Genomic DNA, 22562 nt, shown 5'->3' with positions numbered 1-22562 from the left:
CTTCTGACTTACAGAACTGAAAAATAACAATGTTTTATTGTTTTAAGCTGCTAAATTTGTGGTAATCTGTCACAGCAGCAACAGAAAACTAATATGGGTACCCATTAAAAAAAAAAAACAGCAAACTGGTTAGTGAATTATCTCATAACATTTTTCTTTCACTTAAAAAAGTTTCATTCACTTAGAAAAGTCTTAAATACATAATACATCTGGTGAAATAATCCAGATCATGGGAAATGTGTGCTTACATGGAGCATAGTAAAAATATGTTTGTGGCTTCTCTTCACTATTCTTGAGACCATTTTGGTTGCTTTGACATCTGAAAAAAATTATTGACTGATTTGTGTGTAATCACTGCCTTGCTTTTGTTAACATTCAAGGAAATCACAGTGACTACTGTGAGATGTAATACATTTTATATGTTTTCAGATACATTTAATGAGAAATTCATAATCTTTGATTTAGTATCTACAAATCCCTGGCAAGCAGAGAAAGTTTCTGCTTCTATAATTCGATTTTATCCCAAAAGAGTTAAATTTAGTTAAAACAATAAACTGCAAGCCACGAAAATATATATTTTGATTTTATATTGTACATTTTGAAATTCTTCTTGTAAAGTATAGCTTTTGTGGTATGTGACTAATACTAGTACTTAACAACAAGTCTTAGGAAGAGGATAACATGTTTTATTTTGAAGATAGATATCCACAAAGAGATGGCCTTTAAAGTAACATGGACTACAGGTAATATAAGAACTGTTTGCATTTCCCAGAAGTGCTGGGGAAATTCTCTCTGTGCTATCAGCACTAGCCTCATTTAGTTATGTTATTTTTTAACACATGTGGTTCTTAGGTGCACAGACCCTTGGACCCAACCACCTGTGTTTGAGTATTAATTCTGTTACTTGTTAGCTTAGACACTTTGGCCAACTTAACTTTCTCATGCCTCAATTGTTTTCATTGTAAAATGAAGAGGATGGTAATAGTACGTACTTCAAAAGGAATTCAATGTAGCCTTTCTATATTTGTGGATGCCATCCTCAAACTCTCTGCGGAGAGACCCATGTCACGACAAACCGAGGGTTCTGGCTAACAACTATGCTGGAGAAGTTCGATATATCAGTCAATGCTTCAGATGACTATAATACTAGCCAAAACCTTGACTGCAACCTCATGAGAGACCCTAAACCAGAACCACCCAATTAAGTTGATTCAGATTTCTGACTATCAGAAATTGACCTATATATTAAATGTTTATCATTAAAAGCTGCTAAATGCTGTGGTTATTTGTTGAATAATAGATAATTAATGCAGTAATTAAAATATAAATATATATATAAAATATTTTCCCATCCATGGGAACTTAGGAGTTCCCATTCCAAAGGGAAAAGATGAGTATTCCAACCTAGTCATTCTGTAGAGTAAGTCTTCCTGCTCGCACAGGCTTGTTTGTGTCTCTGGTATTTCTTTGGGGCTCTGCTCATGTCTGTTTCTTAGTAGGCTTAGGATCACGGTCCTAGTCATGACTTCTGCCTTCAGCGTTAGATTATGATCATTTAAGTTTAGTTTGAGAGAAAGTGGACAGATGAGCCCAACAGAGTTGGATGTGAGAACTCATAATTAATAAGTGAGAAGGATAAGCATGTGTGTGTGTGTGTCTGTGTGTGTGTGTCTGTGTGTGTGGTAGGTGAATGCATTAAGGATTCACCATTTTGTAATGAATTGTATTATTTAACAGGCCTTCAGGGCAAAATATTTTGAGAACCTATTAATAAAACAGGAAAACTAGTTTATGTACAAACAAAACTTATAGTGTCTAATTGTGGTGAAGCCTACATAAAAAATTATTGGTCGTTGATTTGCCAAATAAATAACTTTTGATGGGTTTGGTTTCTAAGGACGTAATGTTTAATGAATGTTATGGGTGTATATTATTTGTCTACTTTCAACTTAGGGCAAATTAGGACTAAATTTGAAAGTACTGATTGCCTTCTTATTTTATTTATATTTTTATTTAAATAACATAACTCCTAAGAGTCTTAAATTATTGAATCCAGGATAAATATGAGATTGATTTTATTCCTTTAAATTTCAAAAATCCCTGGTTAGTTTAACAAGTTTATGCTGCCATCCTGCTGTCTTTATGTTACATAATTCAAGAAATACCTGATTTTTCCAAGATCTTTCATGCAATTAGCAATCATGGTTTTATATCATGTATGGACAGAGCTGAAGTCTTTATTCCCAGTGTGTGTGTGTCTGCGTGAGGGTTGCTTGCATGCGCAAAAGCATAAATATCTCTCAACTAACTGAGCCAATTCTGCTATATTATTAGTTAGTGACTTTGAGAAAATAATCTGAATAAAAGAAAGGGATGGCAGCTTAACCGGAAAACAAAATGAATAGAGTGAGAGACTCCTTAGCCCTAGAATCCCCTTGAATAAATAGAATAAACAAAGACGCATTATGCATATTCCCAAGCTTGAGATCCTACTGTAGCATTTTTTGCACCTAAACACTTAACAAAATTCATCTCACTTTATAAATTTTATTGAAATGTGAATTCATGTAACACAAAATTAATAGTTTTAAAGAAAAAAAATCAGTCACATTTAGTTCATTCACAGCCATTACCTCTATCTAGTTCCCAAACATTTTATCACTCCAAAAGTAAATCCTGCATCCATTAAGCAGTCACTCCCCATTTTCTTTTTCTCCTAATCACTGGTAACCATCAATCCACATTTTGTCTCTATACATTTACCTATTCTAAATATTTCATATAAATTGAGTCATACAATATGTGATTTTTTGTATCTGCCTTCTTTTGCTTAGCATAGTGTTTTTGAGGTTCATCGACATAGCATATACTGATATCTTATTCCTTTTTATGACTGAATAATATCTCATTGTATGGATATCCCACATTTTGTTTCTTGATCCAATGGATGATGAACATTTGGTCTATTCCCTCATTTTAGCTATAGTGCATTGTGTTGCTATGAATATGTGAGTACCTGTATTAATTCGAGTACCAGTTTTCTTTTCCTTTATATATATACATAGGATAGGAATTGCTGGATCATATGGTAATTTTATGCTTTTTGGAGAGCTACCAAACTGTGTTCCACAGCTTCTGCACCATTAGCCTCTGCATTGTACACTCCCATTGGTAAAGTATTGAGGATTCCAGTTTCTCAATATCCTTGTCAAAAATTGTTACTTTCCTTGTTTTTATAAAAATTATAGCCATTCCAGTGGATATGAACTGGTGTCTCACTATTGTTTTAATTTGCATTTCCTTAATGATTAATGATATTGAGCATCTATTCTGGAGACAAGAGCTTTATCATATATTTAATCTACAAATATTTCTCCCTTTGTGTAGGTCTTTTAATTTTACTGATAATGTCGAACAAAACATTTTTAGATTAAGCTCAATTCCTCTATTTTTTATTTCAATCCATGTGCTTGTGATATATCCAAGTATTCATTGCCAATCCAAGGTCATGAAGATTTACTCCTACGTTTTCTTTTAAGAGTTTTATAGTTTTATGTTTTTAGATCTTACACTTAAGTTGTGGATCCATTTTTGAGGTAATTTTTGTGTGTGGTATGAAGCAGGGGCCCGGCTTCATTCTTTTGCACGTAGATATCTAGTTGCCGCAGCACCATTTGTCAGAGGCTATTCTTTCCCAGTTGAATGACATTGGCATCACTGTTGAAAATTAATTGACCATGATATGGATTTGCTTCCAGACTCTAATTTCTATTTCTTATGCCACTACCACCGTGTTTTGATTACTGTAGCTTTATAGTAAGTACTTAAGAAGTGTGAGTCCTCCAACTTTGCTCTTCATTTTCAATATTGTTTTGGCTATTTGGCGCACCTCACGACTCCACAGAAATTTGAGAATCAGCTTTTACATTTCTACAAAATGTGTTATTGGAGTATTGACAGGAATTACATGGATTCTATAGATTGGTTTAGGGAGTATTGCCATCTTAACAATATTAAGTCTTTCAATCAATAAACATGGGATGTCTTTCCATGTATTTAGGTCTTTAATTTCTTTCATCATGTTTTGTAGTTTTCAGTGTATGTCTTTCATCTTCTTGGTTAAATTTATTCCTAGGTATTTTATATGCTATTGTAACTATAATTTTTTTCTTAATTTCTTCTCCAGATTGTTCATTGCAGGTGTATAGTAACAACTGTTTTATGTGTGTTAACTTTGTGTTTGCAAATTTGTTGAATTTGTTTATTACCTCGTAGTTTTTTGTGGATTCTTTGGGATTTTATACTTACAGGATTATGTCTCTGAATAGATAAGAGTTTTTCTTCTTCCTTTAAAATCTAGATTCCATTAATTTCTTGTTTTCTAAGTGTTCTGCCTAGTACTTCCAACATTATGTTGCATGAAGGTGGTGAAAGTAGGCAGGCTGGCCTTATTTCTGATTTTAGTGGGAAAACTATCTTGCTCTGCTGAGTACAATAATACTGGGTTTTCCATAAATGCCCTTTACCATATTGAGAAAGTTGCTAACTATTCCTAGTTTTATGTGTGTGTGTGTGCATATATCTATCTATCTATCTATCTATCTATCTATCTATCTATCTATATCTATGGGGTGACTGCTCCCAAACTTTGGTCACAATAATACAGCAGTATTTACTGCTTCTAAACATTTGCCACAATGATAAACTTTTGTCACAATAAGACAGGAATAACTTTTGTTACTTTGCTCTATTCCATTCCTCCACCTAGGTTCTGAACTAGCCAACTGAATGCATTCAAGGACATGTAGAGCACATTATGATAGAAGAAAAAAAAATACACTTTGTCTATGGCAGCTAACAAACTGAATGAAAGCATTTAGAAGATACAGGGTAAAATCAGAAATGCAGGGATATCATAACACTCAAAGCCCAAGATCATATACAAGAAGCATGTAAACTATAGCTTTTGTCCCATGTTTACATCTATAATTAAAATGTAACTGTAGTTACTTCTAATTTGTTTTGTTTGTTTGTTTGTTTGTTTTTTTGAGACGGTGGTTTGCTCTTGTCGCCCAGGCTAGAGTGCAGTGATGTGATCTTGGCTCACTGCAACCCCCACATTCCGGGTTCTAGTGATTCTCCTGCCTCAGCCTCCCGTGTAGCTGGGATCACAGGCACCCACAACCACGCCCAGCTAATTTTTGTATTTTTAGTAGAGACAGGGTTTCACCACGTTGGCTAGGCTGGTCTTGAACTCCTGACCTCAGGCGATCCACCTGCTTCAGCCTCCCAAAGTGCCGAGATTAGAGGCATGAGCCACCGCGCCCAGTCAGAACTGTAGTTACTTCTTATATCTCTTCAAAATAAATGGTTTATTGTTTGACAAATCGATGCCATTGGGATTTTTAAAAGAAATAATTGAGCCAACACAATTATTTGTATTATCCTTTATTTGGAAAAAAAGATAAATAGGTAATTTACACACGTGTGGTTGGTATTTTCCGTAAGATATGTAAAGTTATGTTTTTTAAACAAAATTTATCATTTTGTGGCCAAATTTCTGAACTCAATTCACACTATAACAAAGGTTATATAATATAAATATGGACTTATGAACTCCATGGCTGGCTAGTAAAATATGATACTTAAACTGAAGTGTGGATAAAATACTTTGAAGTTATTTTTGTTAATAACTAGCTAATTTTAAAATTATGTTTATATTCTGCAATAACTTCAGATTTACAAAAATGTTGCAAAAAATAATACAGAAAGTTTAAATATACCCCTTATCAAACTTCTTCAAGTGTTAATATTTCACCATACTTACTGTAAGTTGCCATTTTTTCTGTCTTTTTATGTCTCTCTCCCTCCCACCTCCTTTATGTGTATCCATAAACATTTATTTTTTTTCTTAATTATTTGAAAGTAAGTGGCTGATCTGATGCCCATTTACCCATTGAATGCTTTATCGTGTATTTCTAAAAACTCATACATTCATTTATATAATCACAGTACATCAGCAAAATCAGTAAATTTAAACAACAGACCTTTTTTACATTTAACAAATTAACTCACTAATTTTCTTTCTCATGAAAAATAAAAATAAAAACAAAATCTGATCTAGGATATAATCCAATATTACACTTGTATTTGTTTTCAATGTATTGGGATAATTTTTATGATATTTATTAGTTCTGTGCTGGTTGGATGGTCACACAGTCTATCACCAAGCATCACATACAATGTATGTGTCTTTGATTTTATTATTTTGTTTTCTTCTCTTGAAACTGATAAACTCTTAAATTTGGAACTGTATATTCTAATTTTATTATCATTCTCTTAAAATGCCTGGCAATTGCTTTGTACGAACTATTTTATACAGTAGATTTCATAATGATTGTTATATGCGTGGTAATGTCTTTAAATGTGAGAGACCAGAATGACAAAAACTTATACCAAACAAGTGTCTGTTGTAATATAAAAACTTGAATGGGATGGTATTCTCTTAAAATACTATTTCAATATTAATAGTTTTCTAATTTTTTAATTAACCTCCAAATTAAATTGAAATTTAATCCATGCTTCCTTTTTTGTATTATTCATGATATAAAACAATTGCTTATACATCTGCCTGTCTGGCAAAAGTTTTAACGTACTTTATTATCATTTTTATTAAATCGTCTCCTAGCCTTCATATTTTTATTGCATACTGAATACAACAGAGATTAGATCTTCATTTGATGTGTAAGAAAAATATATTTTACTGATGTGATTTTTACCTTAACATATTGATCTCCAGAAATAATCCATACTTGAGCTACAATTCAAGGATTTAATTTTAAGAATATAGTAAATAGCTTTCACCTTGGAACAACAGCCCCATTCCCATTTCCTCTAATGAAGTACTGCTCCTCAGCTGCTATGAGTGCCACCCAAAATGTGGCAGTGCAACAATTGTTCATGGAGATACAAGGACATCAACTCTGTTAGTTTTTCAAACACAGATAATTTAAACCTCAGAAATAGTTTCTCTGGGCTAAGCCACATTAGAATTAAGAACAGTTTCTTCCTTGGCCTTCCTTCCTTCCTCCCACTTGTGAGGATTCAGAACAGCAGTGTTCTAACACAGTAGCAGACCCTCAACAAATGTCAATAATTTTCTTTCTGTCTCTATTCTGTTGTTCTTTAATTATATATTTGTATCAGTTTAAATATAATATGCTATTAAATAACTAGAATGCTTTCTAATTAGAAAACACACACACACACACACACACACACACAAGCTTTAAGTGGTGAATATTTATGTGGTACTATGATATATTATCATATAGCATAAATTTTATCTTTGAGCATATTACATATTAGAAATTTCTTACTACACATGCAATTACCACTATTGGTCATCAGCAGAGCCAAGTCCTCATTTCCTTGTCTTTTCTTACAATCCTAAAGTATAACATAGAAGTTCTAAAAGAAACTGGAACTGATTTCACTTGTGTAGTTAGTGAAATTCAAAGAAATTAAGATATTAAAATAGCATCTTTTATATAATAAGTTCTGTTGGGCTCTACAGTAAATATAAGTGGGCCAGTCCTTTATTATAGTTTATTATACTCTGTTCTAGGCACCAAGGCATTAGATTGCTAAAAGAATATTAACACCATCATTCTCCATTATCATTATGTAAATTATTGGGCCAGGACAATTTTGGAAACATAGGGTTCTTATTGTGAGTTGGTTTTACTGAATCCTTTGAGTAACTAGTCAAGAGTTAGTTAATCCTTGGAGTAACTAGTCAAGAGTAGCTAATGTGGTATCCATAAAGTTAATAAGAACTCTGGAAGCAACAGAAACTGTGCTCTACTTGATAATGCAGGCTGGGTATTTTTTTATTAGTTTGCAAGGATTAGTCTGATTAAATGCCCTTTAGCCTGACCTTTCTTACAAGGGTGTGTGAAAATATTGAATATACAGTTTGTGCTTTAACCACAGAACATATTCTATGGTGCATGACTTATTCATCCTTCAAAACCAAATGTGGTTGGGGCAAAATTTTCTATAATATCCCATTTTAAAAATAATGTTAAAGTTACTAGAACTCCATTAAAAATGTTTTGGGGCTAGAAGTCATGTTTAAAATAAGATAAATCTTTACTTAAGTTAGGCAAATCAATTCAGTGGTGATTTAGGTTATTCATATCATTAGAAGAGGTGGGTTAAACAGCAGTTATAATTTATTCAAGGGTAGACACAAAATATTCTATATTCAACAATCATTTTTTAAAGTTTTTCTGTTTACATTTATGTTTATAAAATGTTTGCATTTTCAAGGTTTCTCTGAGAATATTAAAGGATAATGTTGTACCTGTAAAATATTTGCATGTGAAATAAATGGAGAACATGCAGTAACACAGAGCCATCTATTGAAAACACGTGGATCTGATGCTGGATGAGTGTATATGTAGGGCCCTTGGTGTTTGCCTTTATTTAGTCATATTCTGTTTAAAAATAGGCAACATTTTGTGAGATAATTCTGAAGCATATTGATTTTTAAGGGTCAATATACTTATATATCTTTATTTTACAATGTCCATCATGTAGTAAGTACACAAACTTTTCTAAAGATTATGTTAGAGTTTATTTTCTTTTGATTTTTTAAGTTGCATAAATATATTGCTTTGTTAGAATACATTTTAGGCATTTGATGAGGGATTACCTGAAGAACTACAAATAATAAATCTTTAGTTTTGATAATAACTAGAAAATATTAACTTGACTGTATTTATAATGACTTGAAGACATTGTATAATAAAGTCAGCACTTGGACAGCTCGCTGTGGTATCTTCTTATTAATCCTGTAATCATGGAAAAGATGGCTGTGAATAATAAAGTAGTTGTTGTTGCTGGACATTATAAGAGTTACTACACCTTCTTCATTCATGAAACTGGGTTTCTGCACGTCTCCATCCTCACCATATGCTTTTAATGTCTTGATATGCTGCAAAGCAAAATGTTATTGTAATTGTAAAATATTTTGTTCTAATTTACATTTATTCGAAAACATTTACAGTTTTTTGCCTGTGGTTGGCATCGTATTCACCCTTTACTACCATAGCAAATCGTAGCCACCTCTTTTAAGTTTGAAGCATATTTTCCCTTTATATCCCTGTTGCAGACCAGGTGCAGGATGCATGACCCTTCAACTACTAAACATTCTGCACACAGATAAAATAGCAAGAACTTTCTGTATATATACTCAATTCTAAATAATAGCTCCTTTGAAAGTAACATAAGAATCAGAAAGAGATTAAGAAGCACATCCAGAAAGATACCAATACTTTATGGTCCCCTATTACACTTAGAATAAAATCCAAATAATTTTCATTCATCAAATCTTCAGTGTTTGTACACATCAATCCCCCCTCCCTTATTGATTCCATTCTTTCCCATATTACAGTAGTCACATTGACCTCAGTCAATTCCAAAAGACAGCACAGTTCTTTCCACCACAGGGCTTTTTCAGGGGCAAGTTCCCCTGCTTGGAATGTCTTTCTTTGCACATTGTACTCACTTGGTTCATTCTTTTCCATGAGTTTTCACCGTAAATATCAGCTGCTTATCGAGATTGTATGTTTACCCTAGTCAAAAATAAAGAAACTAATGTCTTCCCTTGTATTCTCTTTCTTAACTCCTTGGTTCATTCTTGACCTTTATTGCAGTCAACAATTACCATTCCTCTTGTATACTTGGTTTTATTTATCTTCTCCCATTAGAAAACATCTTTGTGATGACAAGGAATGAATGTGTATGTATCTTATTCACCAATGTTTCTCCAATTTTAAGTACTGTCCCTAGACTCTTTTCAGTATCCAATAAACATTTGTTGAATGCACACATGCACAAATAAATTAAATATATAACACACAGAAAGGTAGGTTGAAGCAGTATATTCTGGATATAAATGGTGCTAATATAGAATTGAATTTTAATCTCAACTTCAGCATTAACTAGACATGAGACGATTTCTCTGTTTTGCCTCAGTTTCCATATTTATACAAACAGAGAAAGTAATACTTGGCTGGCATTTTTCAGAGTGCTTCTGTGAGGACGTATTGAAATAATCAATGTGAGGCACGTTACGTTATTTAAACATTATACAAATAAAAGTTAATCTCCCGAATTTATCTAAAAATTAAAAGGAAAATATTTAAATACAGTAAGATAAGTTGGAAAAATTTCAGCACATTTTATTTGTAGCAAAGTTGGCCCTCATTCTTCCACACCAAAAATAATGGGGGAGAGAAGAATCAGGAAATGACTACTTATGAAACGAGAACCCAAGACTTGGGGAAAGATTGTTTCCTAGCGATTGAGGCATGCAAGTTACATTTTATAGCCGCATTGGTAAAAGAAGGATGGGCTTTGCCTCCACGCTTGGTGATATCATGAGGGTTTAACTTTCCTTTAAATAGAGGTGGGATAATACAAAGTAGCTCAGCAACAGTACCTGGTGAAAGAGACTGGCACATCTAAAACTAGGAGAAAGGGGAAAATTAGAGCAAACGTGGTTACCTATTTTCTAGTCTCTTCTTTCTTCTACATGTCTTCCCAATTCTTTCACAAACTGTGACTAATGAATCATATTGTTTTTGGTTTTTAAATTCAGCCCCTCCCAACCTCCCTTCCACAGATAGGGTCTGGGGAAAGGAGGCACGGATAGGTTACCAGAACTAATTCAATATCCTAATGATTGTACACCTCAATCATGTCTCTGCACAATATTTCTTCGAGCCGCTTTATTTGTTTATCAATGAACATCCTACTGCGTCCCTGAGATGTAGGTCATCGGAAATACCAGCTGCCGATCACATGCAGTCTTCATTGTATTTCCAGACCCAGTGCGCTGCTGATTCCTGCACAACTGGAGTGCGCCTGAGCTGTGTGAGGGAAAGGAGACACCTGTGCCTTAGGGACGCAGGTGAAGTCCCATCTACCTTCCTGAGACTTTCCCTGGCGCTTTTCCACCCTCTCGGGTGGCTCACTTCTCATCTCCATCTCCCCTGTCCACTTGTACTCAGACCTCTCTCTTTAACCTGCGCTTTTCCCGCGCTCTCTCTCCTCTGCGCCTTAGCTGAAGACACAGAGAACTCCACAAAACTGGGCATGCCTAATAGCCAGGGAAGGCTTGGGCGCAAGAAGAAAGCGTTTGCATCTTCCGAGCTCCCTTCCCCTCTGCAGCTGCCTCCTGCCAGTCAGGCCACCCGACTTGCGCTACCGCCCAATGAGAGCCCGCGGCCTTCTGCCAGCGCCCCGCCTCTCCTGGCACCACCACCAATGAGTGGTTGGCGGAGGTGGGCCGCGTCCTGTTCCCGCCTCTCCAGTTAAGGCCGCTGGTGTGAGCCGGGGCTCTGCGCGAGCGAGGGACGACGGAAGGGACGGGCAGGTGTGGGCGCGGGGCCACGCAGCCCGACGGCGGGAGTCGCAGGTGCTGGGTGCATGGGCCAGTGAGGACGCACAGAGATCCCTCGCCGCGCGGAGGAGGAGCAGCGCGGGAGCCAGGCGCTGCCCCAAGACCCTGCCTGCGTCCGAGCGAGCGGAACCTCGCGCTTCGCCCGGGGACAATCCGAAGTCCGCGCTATGGAAGAGGAGAAATATTTGCCTGAGCTGATGGCAGAGAAAGATAGCCTGGATCCATCTTTTGTGCATGCGTCGCGCCTTTTGGCAGAAGGTAGGACTTGCCCCCACAGATGGGCACAAACCGCCGGCTGCCTATCTCACCCGCGGCTTGATTAGGGGAGTGAAGTTGGGGAGGGACTCCTCTCCCCGCCTTCGCAGAAACTGTCCCCCTGAAGATGCTCGCCTTAGAGCTCGGGCGGACAGACCCCGTTCTTGGGGCGGACAGCAGTGCTCCTTCTCCACGTCTTAATTTGGAGAAGACCAAAGCTACGGAGATCTAATGGCAGTGGCGATGTGACCTGTTAGGATCATTGATAGAGAAACCATAAAGTGTATGTAACGCGGTCTACAGGGACATTTTCACTTCGCAGAGGGAAGGGAAAGCAGTTTGGAAGTAAATGGTGATCAATGTAGTGTTCTAAGAGCTTCGTAGCTACAGATCGGTATTTTTATTTTTATTTTTTGCTGCATTTAGGAAGTGATTTTTGATACCCTTTAATCAAAGTCTATCCTATGGAAAGTGTTAGAATTAACCTATGCATTAAACTATGCATGTTCTTATATGTATGTTAATGTGGTAAGTAAAGGCTAAAGTGCTTATACATTTATTTGAAGTGTGATGATTGGGTACTCTGTGAGATATTGGTCCCTGGGAACACTCTATAATTGATCAACTGTTTTACCAAGTGTGCATTTTCTTTTGTGTACCTGTAATGTTAAAGGGGATTTCATTCCTAGAGGAACACATATGTCTTGTTTTTTGCATTGCTTTGAAAGGTTTTTTTTTGAAAAAAGACACATGAACTTTATTAACCGAATTACTCCATTTATGTTATAATAATGCCATCTAAATACTAAAGACACCTATGGTATCTGTAGTTACTTACCCATGCCTTTTTAAAACATCTGCAGATTTTTTTTAGATGAATGCTTCATTAATAATGAATTGCTTCATCATCAAATTGGTTACAATGCAGTTTTGTAGCTAAGTTTGTTATGGACTTACATACAGCAAAAAACTAAAACGGATAACTTCCTCTACCCAAGCTCCTCAGTATTAAAAGATTTTTTTGAGACTTAGTTGTACCAAGGAAGAATAAATTCTGCTCCTCAATATATGATTTAAATAGGCATTAGCTATATTTTTTAATTTATGAATTGTTATTTATATTAACAATGAAGTGTAAGGTATTTTTCTATGTTTAAATACTAAACAATTAGGAAAAGATTTATATTCAAAACATGGAACATGTGAAATAACTAAACTGTTTTCAGGGAAAAAGCTAGTTTTATAGATAAGTGGGAAGGTGAAATACAATTATGCCTACTACTTTCTTGGTTACTGAATGAAAAAAAATATAAATTAAAGTGGAAAAGTAAAGTCAATAAAAACGAACTTTTTTTACTTTCCCAAAAAAGACAACTACATAAAAATAATAGCAAAATAATGTGTTAATAGATGTTTAAGATTGTTTGAAATGATTTAAAAGGCAAGTCTTACCAGTCTTCAGTATCTTTAATATATTTTGAATAGTCTTCAATATATTTTCCAGAATTTTCTTTATGTAGCTTATAATATGTCTTTAAAGTGAAAAAAAAGTTACAAATTGATCATTCTCTCTGACCCGCTAATTGGAGTTCTATTTGAGACAAGTGGCTCAAAGATTAATTCATCAGTCATTAATATGAGTTATTGTACTTGAAGACGGCCAAGCTAAATAAATGCATACAAGAAACTCTTAACAGAGTGCATAAGTATTTCTGTGGCTGGTAAAACAGTCAGAGAATGCACTTGGTTCCTTAACATTTTATCTTTCCTAGGAACTTGATTTCTTGATATAATACTTAGGAACATGTTCTGATGTACCTTGTAATTTGATTTTTTCCCAGCAGGGGGAAGCATGCCCTGCTTTTGTAAAGAATTAGAAGGAAAAGCTCCTAAATAGAGAAAAACATCTAAGTAAGAAACAAAGAGGTTACCCAAATTTCAGAGAAATCAGAATGAGGAAAAGAGAATGGAGGAGGTTATAATAATCTTGGAGTACCTAAAGAGTTATGCAAAAGGGTGCATAGGTTTTATATTAGCTCTCTGTACCTGGGGCTCTTTACATGTGCTAATTAAAGAGTGTAAGATGATTGTTCTTGGAATCTCAATAATCTTAATGTATATTTTATGGTATAGATCTTTCATTATCTTTCCAAAGGCCAGTTGCCAAGATGTCCACGCTTAGTTTCAGATCTCTATAGAAGAGTATGGTTGAGATTATTTTATTTCTCATACCTGAGAATGCACTGATTGAAGGGAGTGGCTGTAAATAAACCTGACATAGATATTCATTTGGAAAGAAGGTGCAAAGTACATTTCAGTCAGTACTGTGCAGACAGTGTCAAGCCTGAGTGAGTAGTAAAAATGATACAGATGATTCAGTTCTTCAGAATGATTTTCCGGAAGCTAATATATATAAAGGCAGTAGTATAAACCAATGAGATTTCACAATGATTTATTTTGCATTTTGATTGGTGATACAGGCAAATCAGTGCTCAATTGACAGTGCTTCATGTAGAATTGAAGGCTGTGGGGTTGAAAGTACTAGTTGGATGTTTATTTGGGGTTTTTGGGGGGTCCATTGTAGTTTGTTTTATTTCACTTGTTTGTGCTGTGTGTTTTCAATGAGAATGATTTCAGTTGATTGTTACTCAGAAGAGTTCTTGAATAATGTAGTTTGAAGTTTGTTTATAATATGCTTAAATAATTAAAATAATGTTCATCCTGCGATTATAATGTTGTTTAGTTATCCACTTGTTATGGTAGGTGCTTTTGAATATGATAAAACAGCAAACTCAGGACTATCCTTAAAGTTCTACTCAGTGTCTGAATTTGGTTGCCAGATGAAATTACATAAGTTTATTTATATCTTTTCTGCTTCTGGGAAGTGCATTAAACTGTGAATCTAGATACCTAGATTTGAATTCCACTTTAACCTCAACTGAATCTGGGTAAGCTTTCTTTCCCTGGGCCCAGTTTCCTTGTCTCTCAAATTAAGGAGTTGGACTAAGTGATGTATATGTTTTTTTGCAATTCTAATTAAGTCTCAGGCTACTGATGATACAACGAAGTGATGTTTGTATATTCGGAACAAAAATTCAATGGCTGCACATTTTTGAAACTTTTTTCATTCTTTCCTAGTTTAATGATTAATAATATATTTATGGCACTAAAATGTAATTTGAGGCATATACTTTATTTTGGGTACTGGGGACAGATTTATGTTCTTAAGTCTATTGAACTACTATTAATGTTTGAGGCCAAAAATGTATATACATGAAAATATTATCTGGAAATATTCTGTGTCTGCTGACAGACATAGATCTGTTCAGATTTATATATTCAGTTATGGTGATTCCATACTCCTAGGAGCATTATAAATTTTTGTCCAATTAAGAGAGGTTTGGGGAAGATTTTCTAGCCTGAAATCTTTGCAAGCACTGAAATAATCATAACCATTTTGGTTGACTCATTATATGACGATGTCAAATATTGCCAAATATTCCAGCAGTTCGAATGGTTTTCAAAAAACTGTAGGCGCTATTTTCAAACTTTAGTAAAAAGTTTGACCTGCCATCTAGACTTGGCCTTTATTTCTGCAGATATAAATGAGATCTTAAAAATATTAAGAAAAGAGGGATTAATACTTACCACACATGCAAACTTGTGAGTTAACTACATTTAGATTATCAATAAGAACCATTTTTTAGTTAGATCGTGTTTCTTAAATATTTTTCATAAAGCTTGATAAGTTTTTTAATTAAGGAAAGTTATTAGTGTCATGTCTAAAACAGCTTCTGGTTAAAAAATAGTGTTCCTGTGACTCTTTAAAGTGACTTTTCTTTTGATTAACGTAATCACCTTTTTCTCCCAATAGACTTGGGATAATCTTATGTTTCTTAAATACAAAACAAACATGGGCAAAAAATTAAATTCAAGTTATCTTTGATCTTCAATTAAGACAATTTATGATATAGTGGAAAATTTCTACTTTGACAAGAAAAACACTTGGGAGTGATTATTGACACTTCTACCTACTGGGAAATAAAGGATGTGTCATTTTTTTTCCACCTCTCTGATACTCAGTTTCTTCATCTATATAACAGGAAAAGTGATACCTACCAGGCAGGGTTCTTTTAAGATGAAAAAACAAAAACAAAAACAAACAAACAAAAAACAACTTCTGCTTGTGATGCTTGTGATAACATAAGCCGTATTTTAAAAATTTATTTTATTTTATTTTTGAGACAGAGCCTTGCGCTGTTGCCCAGGTTAGAGTGAAGTGGTGCGATTTTGGCTCACTGCAACCTCTGCCTCCTGGGTTCAAGCAATTCTCCTGCCTCAGCCTCCCAAGTAGCTGGGATTACAGGTGCGTGCCACCACACCCGGCTAATTTTTGTATTTTTAGTAGAGACTGGATTTCACCATGTTGGCCAGGCTGGTCTCAAACTCCGAATTTTGTGATTGACCTGCCTCATCCTCCCAAAGTGCTAGGATTACAGGCATGAACCACTGTGCCCGGCCAATAATTTTTATGTGTATAACAAAAATATAAGCAGAAATTAAACAAACATAACATGATGATGCACCTCAATTTGAGAAAATAAGTAAAATAAACACTGCCTTACTTTAGATTACTGCTGAGTTACATTTGAACTCATAAAGCAAATTATGAAATAAATTACCTTATGAAAAAGGATTAGATTGAGGGTTTTAAAAATATCATGTTTAGTAAATGATCACTTGTCAGTCTTTAACCATGGGCTTGATTAGCCCTGGTCCTATTTATTTCAAGAGTAATTTCAGACCTATTCAGGCTTCATCTTAAACCCACATGTTCTTCACTCTCAGCAGGTGATTTCATCATCTGTTTTATTGGAGGAAATGGATATCTCTCTTCTGCTATTCCTCAACCTCCTACCACCTAAAAACTTCCATAGCCATCGTCATTGTCTTTCATTCCCAGAAGACCAAATGTTTCTTTTCTTCAGGGTTGACTTGCCATCCATATCCTTGACCCAAATGCTCTTCATCTCTGGACTCATTCTGTAGTTAAATCCTTTATTTGTATCTCCTACTCTTTCTCCCGATCGACTCTTTCTTTATAGCAGCTGTCAACATGATTCAATGTGAATAATTTGAAGAAATAGAATACTTCTTTCACTTGCCACAAATATTGGAAAATAATCTCTCTTGACATTTGTCCTTCCTTGTTTCCTTCAAACTTCTGATAATACTAGTATATACTAGCTGCCTCACTTTCTTAATTTACCTTTTTAGAATTATTCGGTTTGGCTTCTGTCTTCATCACTGTCCTGAAACTGATGACCCTAGTGACAGAATAATCTCATATTGCCAAATTGAGTAAATTTTTTCTGACCCCTTATCAAGTCTCTTGGCTGCACTTTCCACTGTTGACCTTCTTCTGATTTCTTTCCATCTTCCTTGTCTTCTGGGCACTATATTCTACTGGTTTTACTTCCTTTTTTGACCGTTTCTTGCCCTCATCATCCTTCATTTCCCTCCTTCCCACACCAACACACACAATGCTGTCACAGTAATTCATTTAAAGTCTCACCATGTCACACTTCTTAATAATTTCCATTGCCTGCAAGGCGTAGTCCATACCCCTTGACGTTCTTATAATATGCTTACCTCTCCAGAAGCATCTCTTCAGCCTTTCTGCTTAATTTCTCTCAGGTATACCAAACTGCTTATAATTCACTCTCTACACTCCCTTGACATTCCCATACCTATTCACAGAAAGCTAGATATTTTCCCCTCATTCCCATAACGAACGCCTCTAGATCACTATTCAAACTGTTATTTTAGAATGATCAGGTTGTGCCTGTCTCTCTCACTAGAGAAACAGCTCCTCTCTGTCTCCTCTTGAGGAGCAGAACCAAGTCTTTTTCATCACTATATTAGCAGCACTTTTCACAGTGCCTGGTATGTGATGGTGCCAGGTAGAGGCCAAACAGGCTTTTCTCCATCAGATTTGAGAACCAGCCCCCTGTTGGCCCCTCTGCTACCTCTTCCGCATGTGAATAACACTTGCTCTTCTCTCTGTCCTCTCCTATCTCTAAGGTGTTGCACATGCTAAGACCTCACTTTAGAATGCCCTTTCTAGCTTCTCTCCATGATTATAATTTATCTTCATCCAATAAAACTGAGTACTGCTATTCCTTCTTCTAGTAAGCCTTTCATAATGGCTTCTCATCTAATTCATTATAAATTAAGTGCACTTCTGGTTTTATTTTCAACCTATCCACCACTACTACATTGCAACATGCAATTCTTTTTGATCTTGGTTGTCTCCCCCTCTAAGCTTGAGGGCCATACTATGACTTCTGTCTTTGAATTTTTAATGCTTGCCTTCAGTCTTATATGTAGAAGGCCTCAATAAATGTTTCTTAACTGAATGATGCTGACCTCATATCTTCCTTTTTCTCCTACCATGTGTTTAGAAGATATCTCCAGAAACAATTTTTCAGTAATTCTGTCACTTACAATGATAATACTAATTCAGTCATATTTTATCTTTGCATAATTCAAAACCTCAGGAGGCCACTTTGAAAGTTTCCATTTGTTTTTAAGTCAATTTTGAAAAATTATTCATATGCAGGAAGTTGGAAAGATAGTACAGGGAAGTCCTTCTTTACTCTGTGAGGTATCTGAGAATCTGCCCATTTGTTTCTTTGTTGTTTGGATTGAGGCTTTGTGTGTGTCTGCTTTTTATTTATTTTTATTTATTTATTTATTTATTTTTTGAGATGGAGTCTGGCTCTGTCACCCAGGCTGGAGTGCAGTGGCACAATCTCAGCTCACTGCAAGCTCCGCCTCCCGGGTTCAGGCCATTCTCCTGTCTCAGCCTCCTGAGTAGCTGGGACTACAGGCACCCGCCACCACGCCTGGCTAATTTTTTGTATTTTTAGTAGAGACGGGGTTTCACCGTGTTAACCAGGATGGTCTCAATCTCCTGACCTCGTGATCCGCCCACCTCGGCCTCCCAAAGTGCTGGGATTACAGACGTGAGCCACCACGCCTGGCCGTGTCTGCCTTTAATACTTCTGAGTTGCTGGCTTTTCTAGCACTCAGTCTGGCACATACGCGGCACAAAGAAAATCTAAGAAAACCATTGAAATGTCATTCCCGAATCTTGTGGTACTGAGACAATTGGCCTCCTTTTTTCCACTTTCTAGAAAAGAAAGTCTTCTTATGTTTATCTGTAATGTCCCATCCGCATTCATTTATGTGTTTTAATTTATATTTTTATGAAATTTTCTTTTGATTGACTATTAGGCCTTGTACATTAATATTAATATTTCATTGACTAGTTATATAGGAATGAGCATGACCACGATAAATTCATCTAGATAATGGACACAGTAGTATTCTCTATATTTATCTGATTTTAAGGTTTTTTTATGGCCTGGTACCTGAGAATGGGAACATAACTGATCATTATTCTCAGTTTCTCTTTATGTATACAGTCTATAGTGAAGCTGTTTGTTCCCACAGCAGCTGTACAAGGGGAGGAAGTGAGGTTTGGAGGTAGTTTTTAGAAACCCCTGGAAATAACTGTGTAGTATCATCAGCTTTCCTTTTGCACTTATTTGAGCACTGAATTTGATCTTTCTTTTTGGTTTGGCTATATTATGAGAAATATATCTTCATTGGAATTATATTCTGGCATCAGTTTGATTTTTTAAAGCTATAAACCGTGTAATATTTAATATATTTCATAGATCAAAATTTGGTACTATTCCCCACAAACTGCTGAATTCCAATAAAATAAACTGAATTTGGAAATTTTTTTAGAGGTGGAATAACCACTAATAGATGATATTCTACATTAATGTTAGCAAATATCCATATTATATGGCTTCCTCATCTTCTCAAGTGCAGAGTTCTGTAGTGATTGCATCTTTTATTTGCCAAATACTTGTGAGGTCATGGCCAAGCATCCTCTTGCTCCATTGTTATTAACTTTTTTGGAGGAAAGAAGTCATTTTTAGCACATCCTCCATTTGACTCATAACAGTACTTCCAAAAAGATTTTGCAGTATAGAGAGATAATAAACAATCATAAAAGCATTAGGCTATTTACCTTATATTTTAGTTATAGTTTGGAGGATTAATTCCATCAGACTAGTACTCTACTGCATTTGACTACACAATCACATATGCCCTTGAATGTGTGTTGTTAAAAACTGCATATGGGCCGGGCACAGTGGCTCACGCTTGTAATCCCAGCACTTTGGGAGGCCGAGGCAGGTGGATCACAAGGTCAGGAGATCGAGGCCATCCTGCCTAACACGGTGAAACCCCATCTCTACTAAAAATACAAAAAAATTAGCCAGGCGTGGTGGCGGGCGCCTGTAGTCCCAGCTACTCGGGAGGCTGAGGCAGGAGAATGGTGTGAACCCGGGAGGTGGAGGTTGCAGTGAGCCGAGATCACGCCACTGCACTCCAGCTTGGGTGACAGAGCAAGACTCCGTCTCAAAAACAAAACAAAACAAAACAAAAACAACAGAAAAACCCAAAAAACTGCATATGATATGTGCTATTAATAAATGAAGTATCAAATGTTTAATTTATGGGGTTTATAATCTATAGGGGATTCAACTACATATATAGACAGATATTTATATATATACATATATGATATAAATAAGTATATGGAAGGTCTGATAGATTTTACAGAAATTTTAGAGACCACTGATATAGGAATTCAGAGAAAGTCATAACTTCTGTTGTTTATGGTAATGAGAGATTTATCATTATTACCATTATCATCATCTCAACATTTATTGAGTTTACTCTTTGCCAGACACTGTACTAGACGATGCATTACCACAAGTAATCTACCCACCAACCTTATTGTGTAGTTATTAGCATTAGTTTTACAAATTAAACAAATTAAGGCTTAGATAAATTAATTTATATCAGGTCTCACAGCAAAGAAATTGTAAAGTTGAAACCCAGGCCTTTTCACCTAGATGCCACGTGTAACCATTACACCACATTGTCTCCTGTGATAGAGACCCAATGTTAGGCTTTGAAAGAATGTCAGCTATTAGTATGCACATTTTATCTAGAAGATCAATGTTGTTGTTGCCATTAACTTCTAAAATATGTTTCTGAATACAAATATTGGATGAATTATTATATGATATCATAAAATATAAGTATAGCTTATAAAAGTCAAATAAATTTATGAATGGGGGAATTTACCTTAGTATAGAATTGAATTAAGGATCATCAAGACAGCCTACTACATTTTCTGAATGACTTACATTGACTGCTTCTTAGAGAGCTTAGTGATGTGGTGGCAGAGCAGAGGGAACATTTCAGACTTCTTTGGACCCAAAAAGTGATTGGATAATTTTGTGTGGTTTGCTGAGGCATTTTTTTCCCCACATTTTTTAGAGAACTGCTTACATTTGCTGAATTCTTCTAGAAGCAAAGAACAACTGTAGGCCCTCTCTTGGGTCTTGAGGCAGTCAGGGTTTTGTTTAACATTTAGAAGTGAGCAAATTTTACGTTTGATCAGAAACAGAAGACAGTATAGCTTGATTTAAATGTTATCTGTATGTTCTGAGGTATTAGAATTTAATAACTTTGAAACAGATTGGCTGGTGTTATTATACTGTTATCAGAAATGCCACGATCGATGTCTGTTTCCTTTAAAACATTAAAGATTAGATTTTACTCTTCTTACAGAAAACCAGAATAAGTGTGTTTTCTCTAGAGCGTAGATATTTTTAGCAGGTTCATAGCGTTGTATGCTAGATAATGATGAGCCCTGACTGCAACTCAGGAGAGGGAGCTTCTGTGATAGAAACACAATAAAGAGGCTGAATGAGAAGAAATTTGTTTAATTTTGAGAAGAAGAAAGGGATGACTCAAGTAATGGCTGCTTTTTTTGAACATATACAGTGGCTTAGGTCTTTATATTCTGAGAGGCAGCTAATATTGTCCCTATTTTATAGGAAAAGATAAAAAGGAAGATTACAAGGTAGTACAATCAATTTGGATTTTTTAAAAAGCAATAAATCAGAGGTTAGGCAAATGTCCAATAAAAGTGTGAAAGAGTGTCAAAAAGCAGCCATTATACATTGAAACATCAAACAATATTAAAGAACATAACTTGTTTAAGGGAATAGCAAAATCTTGCTTTGATAAACTTTTAGAAGAGTGAACTAACTAGGTTACTTTAGAAATTGTTGTTTCCTTTAAAATAATTTTCTCCAGGAAATTTAAGGAATTGTTTTCTGGAACTTGATTTACATCCACCAGTACATTCATTTTATAAAAGAGTATTATAAAATGCAGACAGTAGATGAATGACTAAATAATAGAATACATTTACCATGATGTTTATTCCTGAAAATGATAAATGGAAAGACATTAGTAAGTGTAAAATTGGATTAAGAATCATCCATGTCTCCAGACAGTTTTAAGTTTTTTTTCTGGCAAAAAGTAGAAGCCACTTTTTTATCCATCCAAGACCTTGTGGAAAAGGGGGCCTTTAAGGAATTGTGGGAAGATGAAAGAACATTTGGTATGCTAAGGCAGATGGCATTTTATTATGATATTGCTTTGGAATGGACTTCAGTATGATAAATGGTTATGTATTAAGCTAGTCTTCTGAAATTACTGAAAGATTGGATATTGTGTCATCTCTACATAGGGAAAATCTGTTAGAATAAAACATTATGATAATTAAAAGCAATTTAATTAAGTCAGATAAGTATTTGGAATGAGTTTCAGTAAACCAAATGGTTTCCCTTTGAGTAAAATGAGTGGAATATATATGTGTGTGTGTGTGTGT

At 35.3% G+C, this 22562-nt stretch overlaps 1 protein-coding gene across 7 annotated transcripts in view, besides 1 other annotated feature; it reads left to right on the top strand.

Annotated features, from left to right (window-relative positions):
- Positions 11364–22562, top strand: part of KHDRBS2 (KH RNA binding domain containing, signal transduction associated 2) — a 743556-nt gene continuing 732357 nt past the window's right edge. For all 7 annotated transcript variants that reach the window (NR_146870.2, NR_146873.3, NR_146874.3 and 4 more), the window contains exon 1: positions 11364–11731. Coding sequence is in view for 2 of the 7 variants with exons in the window: in NM_152688.4 (NP_689901.2) it covers positions 11641–11731 (91 nt within the window). In the remaining 5 variants the exon portion in view is untranslated. The remainder of the gene's footprint in view (positions 11732–22562) is intronic.
- Positions 11415–11504: a silencer, noted in NCBI's record as "silent region_17306". NCBI's record gives its function as "represses an Ori minimal core promoter by ATAC-STARR-seq in GM12878 lymphoblastoid cells {active_cell/tissue: GM12878}" and the evidence as "EXISTENCE:reporter gene assay evidence [ECO:0000049][PMID:35858748]".

Source organism: Homo sapiens, chromosome 6 (genome assembly GCF_000001405.40).
Source record: "Homo sapiens chromosome 6, GRCh38.p14 Primary Assembly".
Lineage (NCBI taxonomy): Eukaryota > Metazoa > Chordata > Mammalia > Primates > Hominidae > Homo > Homo sapiens.
The sequence above is the reverse complement of the archived record's forward strand: the minus strand, read 5'-3'. Positions and strand labels throughout refer to the sequence as shown.